Here is a 15,075-nt window from a genome sequence, read left to right on the forward strand (position 1 = left end):
TTCTTGTGTACTTCCATGTACATTCATACTTACTTCACATGATGATTCTATTTTCTGGAAGTTCCACCACATATGGCGATAATGAAACATCTTTGTCATTTCTCTAAGTGTTTCCAGAGCCTGGCAATGGATGCCATTCACATCGGCATGTCCAGCACCCCCCTGGTGAAGCACACTGCTGGGGCTGGGCTCAAGGCCAACAGACCCCGCGTCATGTCCAAGAGTGGGCACAGCAACGTGAGAATTGACAAAGTGGATGGCATATACCTACTCTACCTGCAAGACCTGTGGACCACAGTTATCGACATGAAGTGGAGATACAAACTCACCCTGTTCGCTGCCACTTTTGTGATGACCTGGTTCCTTTTTGGAGTCATCTACTATGCCATCGCGTTTATTCATGGGGACTTAGAACCCGGTGAGCCCATTTCAAATCATACCCCCTGCATCATGAAAGTGGACTCTCTCACTGGGGCGTTTCTCTTTTCCCTGGAATCCCAGACAACCATTGGCTATGGAGTCCGTTCCATCACAGAGGAATGTCCTCATGCCATCTTCCTGTTGGTTGCTCAGTTGGTCATCACGACCTTGATTGAGATCTTCATCACCGGAACCTTCCTGGCCAAAATCGCCAGACCCAAAAAGCGGGCTGAGACCATCAAGTTCAGCCACTGTGCAGTCATCACCAAGCAGAATGGGAAGCTGTGCTTGGTGATTCAGGTAGCCAATATGAGGAAGAGCCTCTTGATTCAGTGCCAGCTCTCTGGCAAGCTCCTGCAGACCCACGTCACCAAGGAGGGGGAGCGGATTCTCCTCAACCAAGCCACTGTCAAATTCCACGTGGACTCCTCCTCTGAGAGCCCCTTCCTCATTCTGCCCATGACATTCTACCATGTGCTGGATGAGACGAGCCCCCTGAGAGACCTCACACCCCAAAACCTAAAGGAGAAGGAGTTTGAGCTTGTGGTCCTCCTCAATGCCACTGTGGAATCCACCAGCGCTGTCTGCCAGAGCCGAACATCTTATATCCCAGAGGAAATCTACTGGGGTTTTGAGTTTGTGCCTGTGGTATCTCTCTCCAAAAATGGAAAATATGTGGCTGATTTCAGTCAGTTTGAACAGATTCGGAAAAGCCCAGATTGCACATTTTACTGTGCAGATTCTGAGAAACAGCAACTCGAGGAGAAGTACAGGCAGGAGGATCAGAGGGAAAGAGAACTGAGGACACTTTTATTACAACAGAGCAATGTCTGATCACAGGGGCGCCATCCAGGTTTAACCCTGCAAGCTGTTTCCACATCAGAACTCCCTTCAAACACAAAGATTGCTGTGAAAACGAAAATGTGTAGACGCACTCTCAAAAACTGCACGGACATACAAAATCAATCTTTTCCTTTGATCTTGTGGCTAAACCAGCATTTCTGTGTTTGAGAGATTTCCTGTTAGGTGCTTCGTCTGAAAGTGAACTCTCATAATTCAAATTGTATAAAATAAAGCTACATTTCTAAGAGCTTGGTGTAGGGCAATTGGAATAATGTCCTGTTAGATAAACAGACATTTAGCAATCCTGACATTAAAAGGAAATGTATTTCTATACAAGATTATTAGCTGTAATACAAGATATTTATTTAACCAATGACCTTATGGCTGAGAGTTGAATTGTGGTTCAGTATTCATTGATCTCACTGCTTTAAAACATGCTCTTTTTGTTCAAGCAGGAAAAATATTATATCTAATTATGTCTATGTGGTAATACCTAAAAAGAGGTAGAGAGACTCTATGTTCACAAAATATAGTAATTTCATTTTTACCTTTCTTCAGTGGACTGAATTGTATGGAAGGAAATTGATCAGATCTGTAATTCACAACTGTGGAAACCTACACAAATGGGGCTGATGCCATTGTTTCCTCTATTTTATTTTATTTATTTTTGAATCCACTATCTCTTTCCATTCAAAATATTTCCATTCAAAATGTGGTTCACAGACCCGCCACATCAGCACCATCCGAGAGCTTATTAGTAATGTGTAGATTCTCATGTCCCAGCCAGACTTACAGAATTGGGGTCTGTATCTTAACAAGAACCCCAGATGATTTGTGTACAAATGAAAGTTCGAAAGCTGTGCTCTGGACAGTGTTCTCAAAGCAACTTTCTGAAGCCGTGTGGAAAACTGACTCTGTGTGGGTCCCGTATCCCTGTGGCATCCAGACCTGGCCTCTCTTCATTTCATTATTATTGGCCAATATTTCTTTCAGCCATTTCATTTCTTATCTATTAAAATGGCTTGCCCATAAAGGAACTGCATAGGATTATCCCCTGACATTCCAAGAGCAAAATAAAGCTCTTGAGAGTAATTGTTGTCTCAGTCATGCTTGCTGATTACAGTTAGCACAAAAGAAAAATTCAGCTGCCTGACAATACAGGAAATGTTCTCAGATGCTGATGTTTGTAAGGTCCGGTGGGGCCATGAGGAAGAAGAGGAGCTGAAGGTAAGAAACTCATAAACAAGATGACTCTTTGATGCATGAACAAGATTTGAAAATCTCAAGCCTGTAAAGAATACCCCTGCTATTTAAATAAAGCTCATACCAAGAGGTAACATTTTGCCCCGGGCCAAATTCAGGGGTCTAGTGCCCTGCATTCCTTTGAGGCAAAAAATAAATGGGCTATGACTGGTTAAATGTCCAAAAGGTGAATTCTCATTTCATTCAAACAAAGACAGATTTGCGCATTCACTCAAGCAGAATGTGGCCATGAATATTCAGCCCCTGCATACATACAAAGATGTACGCATGATTCCCCCCACCAAGCACACACACAGTCACACACGCACACACACACACATGCACACACGCGCGTGCACACACGCACACATGCACACACACATACGCACACGTAAACACATGCACACATGCACACACGCGCACACATGCACACACGCACACACTTGCACAGGCCCTGGCTCTTCAAGCATAATCATGGTAGTCATCAGTGAAAGACATTTGAGGTTAAGACAGCAAGTCCTTGACAAATATGTTCATGTCTATTTGGTTCTAGTTCTATAAAAATATGAACATTGGGACTCAGAGAAAATGGGGAAAATAAAGTGGATTCAGGTTATCAGTGAAATGATGGTATAGATTACAGCAAATCTGGATATATATTGATGTTACTGCATTTGCAAATGTCCTCCCATTAAACAGAAAATGTGGCTAAAATCCCTGGCCTGGAACTGAACTAGTTTAAGGCAGGTGTAAGAATAGTGGGAGGAAAGTTTGTGAAAGTTTAAAGAATGCCCTCAATCCATGAACGAGAGGGAGGATGTTGTCTTTAATTATTTAGAAGGTTTTTTTTTCCTTGTCTGTTGATAATTTTATGGAAGGTTGCTTTAGATCTCCATTCCTTAAAAAAATATTACATGTCAGTGTAGTTAGATATTATCTCTTTTAGTTATTATACTTGCTATTTTTACTGTATAGTGTGGTATAATCAACAAAAAATAATGCCACGGGCATGTTTACACCTTTTCTGTTGCACTATTAAATTCTTTTCACAGTATTCATATCAATGCTAATTTGAATGTGATGCCAATTAAAAATCTTGTTCATTTATATTGTATATGGTACAAGGACGTAGCATAAGATCCAAAAAAAATTTTGTATTGTCATTTAGCATATCAATTTCAGCCAAATTTGGAAGACTTGATCATCTTATCTTTTGCTCTACACACTCAAAACAAATATTGCAGCAGAAATATCACCTTAAAAATATCTTATTTTATATTTAGATAATATTGAAATCACAGTCTATTAAAATTGGAAATTTAATTCAAATAAAAATCAAACAAAATAGTTGTTTCAATTTATCTAAATATCTGGTCTTAAGAGTGCCTTAAGAGTGTCTCGTTTTTAAGAGTGTCTTAAAAACCAATATATGTATAAGTCAACAAATCATATAATATTCAATAAATAGCTCTGAAGTTGTATCTGATTTGAAACTTACCATTTTCCTGGAACCTTAACTATTATTACTTTGTACGTAATACTTTCATGTTACTATGCTAACAAAGGATTTAGGTAGCCAACTTAATTTATTATATCTGGTCGGTCTTCTGCTTGAAACAGATTCACACTCAACACCCAACTAAGGAGGAGCCAAAGTAGTGGAGTATTCCTGACCCAAAAAGGCTTTTGAATTTTGAAACATTTCTAATGTGTTAGGTTTTCTCAATGAGACCATTAAAAAACGTTGTGTTCCATTTGAGAAACCAGAGTCAACAGCAGTAAATCAGTGTGCCCCACAAGCCACGTCTTATTCAGCAATAAAATAGTGCTCACATGGTGCCTGGCAGACAGTGGCTCTGGACAGCAAAGCACTGAGTCACCCAACCCCACTCCTTTGGGATGGGGTTGGGAGTCATGCATTGGCTCCCTTTTTCATCCTGGGGAAATTACAACACAACGCAGAGTGTCCAGAAATCTAAAGAGCTGGTTTAAGGTGAAAAAAATGCCATGAATGAATGAACCAGATGTTTAATAAATCAAAACAACTATTTTGTTGGATTTTTATTTGAATTAAATTTCCCAATTTTTAATAGACTGTGATTTCAATATTATCGAAATGTAAACAAAGATATATTTTTAAGGTGGCATTTCTACTCCAGCATGAAAAAAATAGTGGCATTTGCACTCTAGCATTATTCTGTCTCCCTTATTTGAGTCTTCAATATATATGCCCAGCTGGAGGGAGAAGAAGAGAAAAATGAAAGCACTAGGCCTTTGACTAGGTTTGGTTCTATATGCTGTCATGATGTTCAAAATGTCAGACATTTGACCACATGGCACAGTGAATACTCTCACGCTCTCAATTTTGGCTTTCATTCTTGCTAGACTTTTCTTCTATTAAATTTCTGAAATAACTAGTTTTTTTTTTTTGAACTTGAAAATCAGCTTTTTATTTTTTTTAATTTTATTATTATTATACTTTAAGTTTTAGGGTACATGTGCACAACGTGCAGGTTTGTTACATATGTATACATGTGCCATGTTGGTGTGCTGCACCCATTAACTCGTCATTTAGCATTAGGTATATCTCCTAATGCTATCCCTCCCCCCTCCCCCCACCCCACAACAGTCCCCGGTGTGTGATGTTCCCCTTCCTGTGTCCATGTGTTCTCATTGTTCAATTTCCACCTATGAGTGAGAACATGCGGTGTTTGGTTTTCTGTCCTTGAGATAGTTTGCTGAGAATGATGGTTTCCAGTTTCATCCAATAACTAGTTTTATCATAGCTTTCCATGATGTAATTTTTTAAGCGAAAGGTACTAACATTTCCAGTCTTGATTTCCAAGTTTTGTGGTGTGCACTCGAAATCTAGTCTCTGATTGTTAAACTCTGGGTAGGTACAAGAGGCTCTTAATTTTCTTCCTCCCAGGAGGACTTACTTACACTTAAAGGTCAAAAGCTTAACATTCACTTCTAAATGGTTAACTGCATACACTTTACCCTTTGTAAACTTCAATTTATCTTTTTTTTTTTTTTTTTTTTTTTTTTTTTTTGATACTGGGTCTCGCTCTGTCGCCCAGGCTGCTAGAGTGCAGTGGCGCGATTTCGGCTCACTGCAAGTCCGCTTCCAGGTTCACGCCATTCTCTCCCTCAGCCTCCCGAGTAGCTGGGACTACAGGCGCTCGCCACCATGCCCGGCTAATTTTGTTTTTGTGTTTTTAGTAGAGACGGGGTTTCACCGTGTTAACCAGGATGGTCTCGATCTCATGACCTCGTGATCTGCCCGCCTACAAGCCAGGTGTGGTGGTGCGTGCCTGTAATCCCAGCTACTCAGGAGACTGAGGCAGGAGATTCGCTTGAACCCGGGAGGTGGACGTTGCAGTGAGCTAAGATCGCGCCACTGCACTCCAGCCTGGGCAACAAAAGTAAAACTCCGTCTCAAAAAAAAAAAAAAAAAGAAAAAGAAAAAGAAAAGAAAAGAAAATAAACGTGGCAAAACTAGACCTTCAGACACTTCACTTCACTTAACCCTATGGCCCTCCTTATCTTGCACCCAATTTCTTTTCAACATCATACATGCTTGGTTGACTGTTTCTTCATATTTGCTGTTCATTCTATAAAGTCAAATAGATTGGTGGGTTAAAAAATAATCAATTCAAATTCAAATTAGGAATTTATGGACATTCAGATATCCACATATTTGAGGGCAGGAATTTTTACTTTTCAATTGGTATGTTGGCAGTGTGTAAAAATAGAAGACCAAGAGAAGGCGGTTGATTGGAGTTGATACTTAATAGCTAATAAAAATTACAAGAAAGGATGGTGGAAGTCAAAGGACAGAACTGATACACGAGTATAAAAGCCAACGATGTCATATATGTAGGCAAAGTCTTTGTAATCTGAATATAATGCCAGAGAGCTAGGGCTGCCAGGCACTCTGTATGTGCAGAATATGTCCTATATGGAGTAATTTTTTATTTGTGTAGACTTTTTTAGGATACCTTAAATGTCTTACATGCAACCTTTTTTTCCCCATATATTACAAAATTGCCTTGGAAATTAGACAAATCTTCAAACTTAACTGAAACTCCTGTCCTGAATAGTTATTTGCCAAATCTGACAAATTTACAAAGAGTGTTCACATAATCCCAAACTATGCCCATTTCTACAAGAGAAATACATGCCTCTTTATTTGGAGTTTATGATATTCATACAACTAGTAGTAGAGTCAGGGAGTATTCCAGAAACATATTTCCCTGGCTTGCCCAATTATCAAGGGAAAATTTCAGCTGAACACGGGGAACCCAGTCTTTGACACTCCTGTGTGCAGTGTGGAGCAGCGTGCACTGTCTGAGTCTCCATAGTGAGGAATGGTCTTCCCTGGGGCATCACCCTAGAAGGATGGGCTCAAAGTCGCCCTCCACGTGGGTGCACAGGAGCCCAGATTCTCAAGCCCCAGTTGCAGAATTAGGCTGATGGTTTTACAAAAGAGTCCTCCTAAAAGTCCATCACTAAGTTTTGTTTGGTTAGCAACCCTTGCCACATGATGTAGTACTTAGCTATAATTTTATTTTTATTCAAGGCCAAATCTTATCTGGTGTCCATGCCTTCCCACCTACTTAAAATTTCAAATTTCACCCTCAAAAATATTTCAGTAAATAAAAGTTAGATCTACTCAAAATTAGACTCCAAGGGAATTACTATAGTTGATTATAGAGTATCTATTTCCTTAAAAAAAAAAAACCATAAGTTGTTGACTCTGAGCTAGGAAATGCGTGATCTCTCAGCTGACTTACTTTATGCAAATTTACTTAATATTATAGAAGAGTAAAGAGCTTCCAAGAAGGTGATTGGAGGGAAGTTCAAAGGGAAGATTTTTTTCATTCACTGTAGTTTTAGCTGTATTCTTTCATCTGCAATCAAATCTCAGGATTAAGGATGTCGTATTACATCAAATCATTACAGGAAGTATGACTGTATCAGCGGCTTTTTACAAAAACAAACCTCCAGATCACAAAAGGAAGCTGTGTTTGTGTACTGACACGAAGTGTTACGTAGCAGCCAGGAGAGGAAGGATAGCAGCCGACTTGGATCCATTTTTGAGGAATTATTTCTGTAAGGTGTCATGGAATTGTAAGTTACAAAAATAAGGCTTTTGTAAACAGAATCTCCATTCCAGAAGGACGGACTCCAAAATGCTACTTAATGAAATTCATGGGAATGTTATGGTGATGGAAATCCCAAATGACATGTAGATTTTATATGCAAACAATCCCACTGCTTGTAACTCCTGGCAGTGTGTACTTACCAAAATCTTGATCACACTTAGGTCTCTTGCTATATATAGAACCACATCTGATCCTTATACAGTGTTGCAAGATATATGTCCTTGCTTTCCCATGGTTCTTAAGTGAGTCTTAAGCTTGGATTTGCTCCAGCAGAATGGTGGTTTGTGTTTCTCAAGGCTGAGCTACTATTTGGTGCATGTCGGAAATCTCACACTAACTGTGGATACTCTGTCATCACTGAACCCAATCATACAATGACCAGACAGCTTTAAATACCTACTTTTGTATGCTATGAATTCATCCGTTTACTTGTCAAATCCTTTATTTCCATATGTGTCTCCATCACCTTTTTTTTCTCTCCGGATAAATGGAATTACTGTAACTTGTGAAACAATGGCAAACACTATAAAGCTAATTTTACAGTCTTGAGTTTCTTTTTGTTTCACTGGAATGGTAATGGTGTTACAGTGGTGCTCTGACAGACAAAAAATCTAATATGTCCTTAGAAAGTTCAGAGGGGAACTTATTTGAAATAACCTTTTCCAGTGATGGCAATCACAATAATGTGGGAATGACTAGGTCCTAAAAACTTATCAAGGTGTTACTGTATATCAGTACGTAAAGAAATGTATTTTGCTTCTTTCCAATCACTGAATAGAAAATGAAATCCCTGCCTCATCGCTCCTTTTTTTTTTTTTTTTTAAGACAGAGTCTCACTCCATCCCTCAGGCTGGAGAGCAGTGGCTCACTGCAATCTCCACCTCCAGGATTCAAATGATTCTCCTGCCTCAGCCTCCCAAGTAGCTGGGATTACAGGTGTGTGCCACCACGCCCAGCTAATTTTTTTATTTTTAGTACAGATAGGGTTTCACCATGTTGGCCAAGTGGGTCTCAAACTCCTGACCTCAAGTGATCTGCCCGCCTTAGCCTCCTGAGTAGCTGTGATTACAGGCATGAGCCACGGCGCCCAGCCTCATCTCTCTTTTTCTGCCTGATGCTCTCCTGCTCCAGAATGCTTATTTCATTTTAGTCAATGATTAAAAATCAAGCAACCGTTTAATAACAAACATCCTTTCAGCACTGCAACCCTTACCAAAGTGCCTTTTGTGCTATTGCTCCTTTACTTGGATGGATTAAAAGAAAGAAAACACTTAACTACATAAGTCCTACAGGCATTAGTATGGGTGTCACCCTAAAGCCGCACACCTAATTAAAACCCACGTAGCCAAGGAGTGCATCCAAATGGCAGTAGTTATCCTCCAAGCAGTTTCCTGGGAAAACTACACACACATGCAACAAGATAGTTGCCACAGCTCTGAACATTCCAGAGTGTCTCTCTTAGAGCCCTCTCCTTTGGAGCCTTGGCTCATTCTTTGTAACATTCTCAGGGGTGGCCAAGCTTTGTTCTTGGAGGGAGCATGTGACAGCTGGAAATAAACAAGGCTGATGCAGATAGTAGGAAGTCATCTTTGAGGATACTGTTTGAACAAAAAGGCAAAATGTTTTCTAGAAAGTGCACAGTCATCTGAAACACAGTCATGAAGCTAGCCGGTGGGACACATTTTATTAATTTTAATTTGCATGGAAGTTTTCAGACACATGTTATTTTCTACCCCGTTATCTCAAACGTCAATTGTCCTTCCAGGATGACCTTGGCTGAGAACTGAGCTAACCACATCCAAGCCATAAGGCAGCATTGCTTTCACCACACCATGTCCTTGGAGCAGAGAATAAGGGAATTTGTCATAGCAACATGGGAAGCTTTGGTTCTGGGCTGGATACGCAACATCCCGGCAGGCATAATTTCCCTTCTCAGAAATCCTGTCTTCATAAATGTTAGACAAACAACTTTTATGGTTTAATTTTTCATGCAAAAGTCCATATTCTTCCCAGAAACTCTTACATTGTTCAAGTGATTATGTTCTAAATTAGTCTATTCCTTTACTGGAATTTAACACTTGCATAATAATCTTAGCTGATAAGGTATTTGAGTGATCTAAATGTGTTTTCACCCGTCCTAAGGGCTGCTTTCTGCATCTTTCTTAGTTTGCCTCTATTGAGTCTGCCAGAAACTCTTACTCTTTTTAAGATTTTGTTCACGTTTTTATTTTATTTTTTTATTTTTTGAGACGAAGTATCCCTCTTGTTGCCCAGGCTGGAGTGCAGTGGCGCAATCCCAGCTCACCGCAACCTCCGCCTCTTGGGTTCAAGCAATTCTCCAGCCACAGCCTCCTAAGTAGCTGGTATCAGAGGCTCCCACCACCACACCCAGTTAATTTTTGTATTTTTAGTAGAGACGGGGTTTCGCCATGTTGGTGAGGCTGGTCTCGAACACCTGACCTCAGGTGATATGCCCACCTCAGCCTCCCAAAGTGCTGGGATTACAGGTGTGAGCCACCATGCCCAGCCCACACATATTTTTAATTAACAAATAATAACTATATATAGTTAGGGATTACAATGTGATATTTTAATACACATTTTAGAATAATTATATCAAGCTAATGATATATCCATCTCCTCACGTATTTTCTTTTTTGTAGTGAGAGCATTTAAAACCCACTCTATTAGCAGTTGTACTTTCTCTTGACAGTGTACCTCTCTGTAAACTCTGTTTAACGTGCCCACTCAGCATGTGATTTAAAGATCTGCAATGAATAAGTCCACTATGACCAACAGACTCACAGCCTCACAGCAGCCCAGAACAGTGTGCTTCTCCTTACCCCTACCCCCACAGTAAGTCTGGCTGACCTGCTACATGTTCAAATATGTTGTGGCATGTTCTATTGCCCGCGTGCCTCTTCTGCTCATACAAGCCCCACACCCCCCAAACACACAAGTCTCATGACATCTGGTCACATCTTAGATATCCAGAGAGCAAGAAATATTCATATTTGTAGGGCTCTGAATGCTAAAAACAACTTCAAATATTCAATAGTCCATGTTATACCCCATGAAAGGGTAGAGGAAGGACATATGCAGTTATCTACACTTTGCAGAAGACCCTGTAGCCCACTGACATCACTTCCAGAGTGGCCCAGTGAGCCATTGGTGGCAATCTGGGTCTTTTCCTTCTTTTCTTTTCTTTTTTTTTTTGTTGAGACAGGATCTCACTCTGTCACCTGGGCTGGAGTGCAGTGGCGTGATCACGGGTCACTGTAACAACTTCCCAGGCTCAAGCAATCCTCCCGCTTCATCCTCCTGAGTAACTGGGACTGCAGGTGTGCGCCACGATACCCGGATAATTTTTTAATTTTTTTGTAGAGATGAGGTCTCAGCTTATTGCTCAGGCTGATGGCGAACTCCTGAGCTCAAGCGATCTTCACACCTTGGCCTCCCAAAGTGTTGGGATTACAGGTGTGAGCCACTATGCTCAGTCTGGATTTTTTCCTTCTGGCCTAGTGTTTTATCTCCAAAATTTACAACATGGAAATCTCATGGTGGAGCAGATTTCCATGTGAGATGGATCAAAATTAGGGCAAAAGTGATAGCAGAATAGATAACCCAGGTGAAAGCATGAGACTGGGAGTCTGGATAAATTGCCTAAAGGCCTAACATGCTTCAAAAGGTCTGTTATTTAGAGGCTGGCAACATGAGATAAATATCCCGAAGGTAGAGAAGATATGAAGTGATCAATTGAAAAGGAAAAGGCAGAGGAGTAAGAATGCCATTCATCAAGACAGAAACAGAATCCACATCCCTGCTGTTCATCTAAGCAGAGACAAACGGTTGACCAAAGACTAGACATGGGGTGACTAAGATTAAGAAATCCTACAGAAAAGTCAAGATGAACAAGCATTCAGTTCTCAAGTCCTCACATTCATTATGATTGCATCATATGAGGCTCAGAAAAGTTGAGTAATTTGTCCAGTTACCCATCTACCAAGGCGTAAAGCCAGGAGTGGCCAACATAAAAGCCTGGCTTCCTCTCCATGTTTTGTCCTGCCTCCCAGGTGGGCCATTACAGGGTGCATCCAAAAAAGCATAGGTGATTTGGTGGTTGATGCTCTTGGAGCCAAAGCAGCATTTGCTTTGTGCTCAAGTGTTTCCATCAAGTGAAAACAAAGCCATGGTTGAATTGCGGTGTCACCACAGACGACTTGCGGGCGTTGAATTCATGCAATGCAAATAATAAGGGATTGTGCCAGTGTGCCTCCCATTGTGAATAGAGCAGTGAGCTTTCAACTGAATGTTTTGCTGAGTTCTAAAAACCTGATTTGTAAGGATTTATACTGGGCTTCTCAGAGAGGCTTTAGGGTAGGTAATTATTTTAAGGTCTTGGCTGATTGAGTCAAGCGGCAAAGAGAGCTTTGTAGAGACAAGCAAACACTGCAGAATCAGTGCAGCTGGCTGGAATCCGATACTGAGCTTACAGGGCCTAAAGGGAGCAGGTGAGTGGTCCCAGCACAAGCAGTCACTGCAATTACAGTGACCAGGCCCGGGGAAGGAAGGCTCAAGACCCAGACACCAAGAAAAGCTAGAAACACAGGGCAAGAGAACAAGGGGTCTTAGAAGCTGACTCTAGAAAGATGTTCTGACAGATTGCTCTTGGCACTAGGGAAGACCTGCCTACAAATCTCTCCATTTCACAAGCAGATAAATAAAGAGGGGCAAATAGGAGAGGAGTGGAGTATGAACCCACAACACATGACGGAGATCAAGGAAGTAGAGCTTCAGGAGCAGAGACCCAGACCCAGGGCCTTCAAATCAAGGGCAGGACTCTGTCCTTAATAGGAGTCAGGAAGAAGGGAAGCAAGACAAAAATCCTACTGCAGGGACAGAAAAATGAAGGCTGGAACTCAAGTGCAAAGAGGCTGGCCAACACAGGAAAGGAACTGGGTAAAATACTGGGGCTTCCTCATTGGAAAGAAGGATTTGTGGCAAGCTGGACCTGGACAAGGTACACTTGTTAAGGAGTCAATGGCTCGTAACATCTTCATCTCTCCTCAGTAGGAATCAGAGCCGGAAACCACAATTTCTATTTCAGTGCTTCCCAGGGCAAGAATTGGCAGCCAGAAGGCAAGCACATCATCACAGCCTGAAGTGCATATTTCATCATCAGATGAAGCGGTTTCTCGCATCATTTATTATTTACCCAGTCACTTTAACAACCACCTGATCTCTGAGACAGGTCCGTGGAGTGTTGTGGTCTCCACATTAATATTTATTTAGCGATGGACATTGTACTAGGAAATAAAAGCAGATTCCTAAAAGAGCTATGTTATTTGTATTTTTCGAGGGCTGCCATAATAACTGCAAACGGTGGTTTAGAACAATTCATTGTATCACATTTCTGGAGGTCAAAAGTCTGAAGGAGGACCATGCTCCCTCTGAGGTATTTTCGCTGGTCTCTCCCAGCTTCTAGTAGGCTCAGGAGCTCCTTGGTTTGTAGGAGCATAATTCTATAATTCTAATCTCTGTCTTCATGTGCACATGGTGTTCTCACATCAGCTTCCCTTTGTGCCTGTCTCTGTGTCCAAATTGCCCCCTTTTTATAAGGACTCCAGTCATGTTGGATTAGGGACCACCCTAATGACCTCATTTTAATTTGACTACCTTTCTAAAGATCCTATTTCCAAATAAGGTCACATTCTGAGGTACTAGGGGGTTAGGGTTTCAACATATCTTTTTGGGAGGATACAATTCAACCCATAACACTATTCTTTCCCATCCATTTCATCACCAATTGATCTACCTTCAACCTTCCTTCTAATCAGAATCATACTCATATAAATAAACCAGAATAAGATTCTTTGCTTTGGAAGAGACAGAAGCTTTCTCTGGGTTACTGTAACTGTCCTGAATTTCCTATTTCTGCAGAATGGACAGAAAAAGCTGACTTCTAGCAGACATTCTATTATAGTTTGACCATAGCCACATGGGAAGTTATGCCAGTGGACATTCCTTTGGAGACAGTTTCTGGTTCTTAGTGCAGAGAGCAAAGAACATTCTTCCTTGGAAATTGCCTCCACTATTTTGTAAACAGGAGAGGACTTTTCAAACCTGGTTTTCAAACAGCCAGAGACTAATTGTGCCCTCTCCAAGTTAATCATATACTGGGCTTCCTCTCTCAACTGCTCTCACAAAGCTTGCTGATTTCTCAATAGCACTGAGATACTTGAAAATAATTGATTTCTAGATGCCTTTCATAATTCTGGCTCTGCCATTGTCGTCATTTTGTGTCTCCTACTATAAAGGTTAGGGAAAACCCTTGCTTGGCAAGCCAGCAACTCAGGTATGTTGCCTCAAGGTGATTCTGCATCCATCACTGGACCACCAGCTGAGGTCCCCACACTTGCTTTGCTTTGCTGAGTCAAGTCGCACCCCATTGTTTTGAGAATAATGCTCTTATGTGTTGCATTTCTCCCCAAACCTCTCCTCATCCAGTGCCGGAAACGTGAGAGCTACCCTTGCTTTCTCCCACTCCCTCATCACCTGTATCTAATTCATCACAAATCCCCGTCCACGCTACCCCTGGCATTGCTCTCAAGTCAGTTTCTTCTCTTCCATTCTAATCTCCCGGTGCTTAGTTCTGGCCACCATCATCATCATCATCACAATATATGTTTTTAAAAAGGCACATTTCACACTGGCTACCCTGTTTCTAGTCTTTCTCCTTCCCAATCTATTCTCCACACTGTACCCAGTGTGGTCATTCTAAAATAGAAGTCCGATCATATTACTCTTTCACTCAAAACCCAACCTCCAGATAAAGGGCAAGTGTCCAGACATTGGACTCATGCCTCTCCTTGATCTTGCTCCTGGTAACCTCCTCCCTTGTCATCTCTTTCCCTTGCGCTCTACTTTCAAACATCCTGAACTCTTTGCAATCCCCCAGTGCTGAAGGTTTTTCCTCCTCCTGCAGCCTCTGGGATATTGGTTATGCTTCTCCTTTCTGGGATGCTACCACCCCAACCCTGGCCAACTCCTGCTTGGTCTGCTGGCTGTCTGTCTGAATGGCTTTCTTGACAGTGCCTATGTGATTCTAGAGGAAGGGATCCTGCCACTCTGTTGACTTCCCCATGGTGCACAGGACCTGATATGGGATGGGGGGCAGGGAAGTGCCGGGCAAAGAAGAGCAGAGTCCCTGGTGAGGGCTATACCCTCTGGCCTGTGCCCACGGACCTAAATGAGGATAGGCATTTCTGGTTTTGAGTTCAAAAAGTTGCCTTTTGGCCTGCCACACCCCTTCCCCCATCCTATGCCTATAAAAATCTAGGACTGTAGCAGGCACAGACACAAGTGGCTAGACGTTGAGAGGAGCAGAAGAACACACTGGCAA

At 41.6% G+C, this 15,075-nt stretch overlaps 1 protein-coding gene across 8 annotated transcripts in view; it reads left to right on the forward strand.

Annotated features, from left to right (window-relative positions):
• KCNJ15 (potassium inwardly rectifying channel subfamily J member 15) overlaps positions 1-8,222 on the forward strand; it is a 77,432-nt gene extending 69,210 nt beyond the window's left edge. For all 8 annotated transcript variants that reach the window (NM_001276439.2, NM_001276437.2, NM_001276438.2 and 5 more), the window contains one exon: positions 109-8,222. In NM_001276439.2, coding sequence (NP_001263368.1) covers positions 127-1,254 — 1,128 coding nt within the window. In that variant the 5' untranslated portion in view covers positions 109-126 and the 3' untranslated portion in view covers positions 1,255-8,222. The remainder of the gene's footprint in view (positions 1-108) is intronic.
• Positions 8,223-15,075: the final 6,853 nt, after the last annotated feature.

The sequence above is a fragment of the Homo sapiens genome, chromosome 21 (genome assembly GCF_000001405.40).
Source record: "Homo sapiens chromosome 21, GRCh38.p14 Primary Assembly".
NCBI lineage: Eukaryota > Metazoa > Chordata > Mammalia > Primates > Hominidae > Homo > Homo sapiens.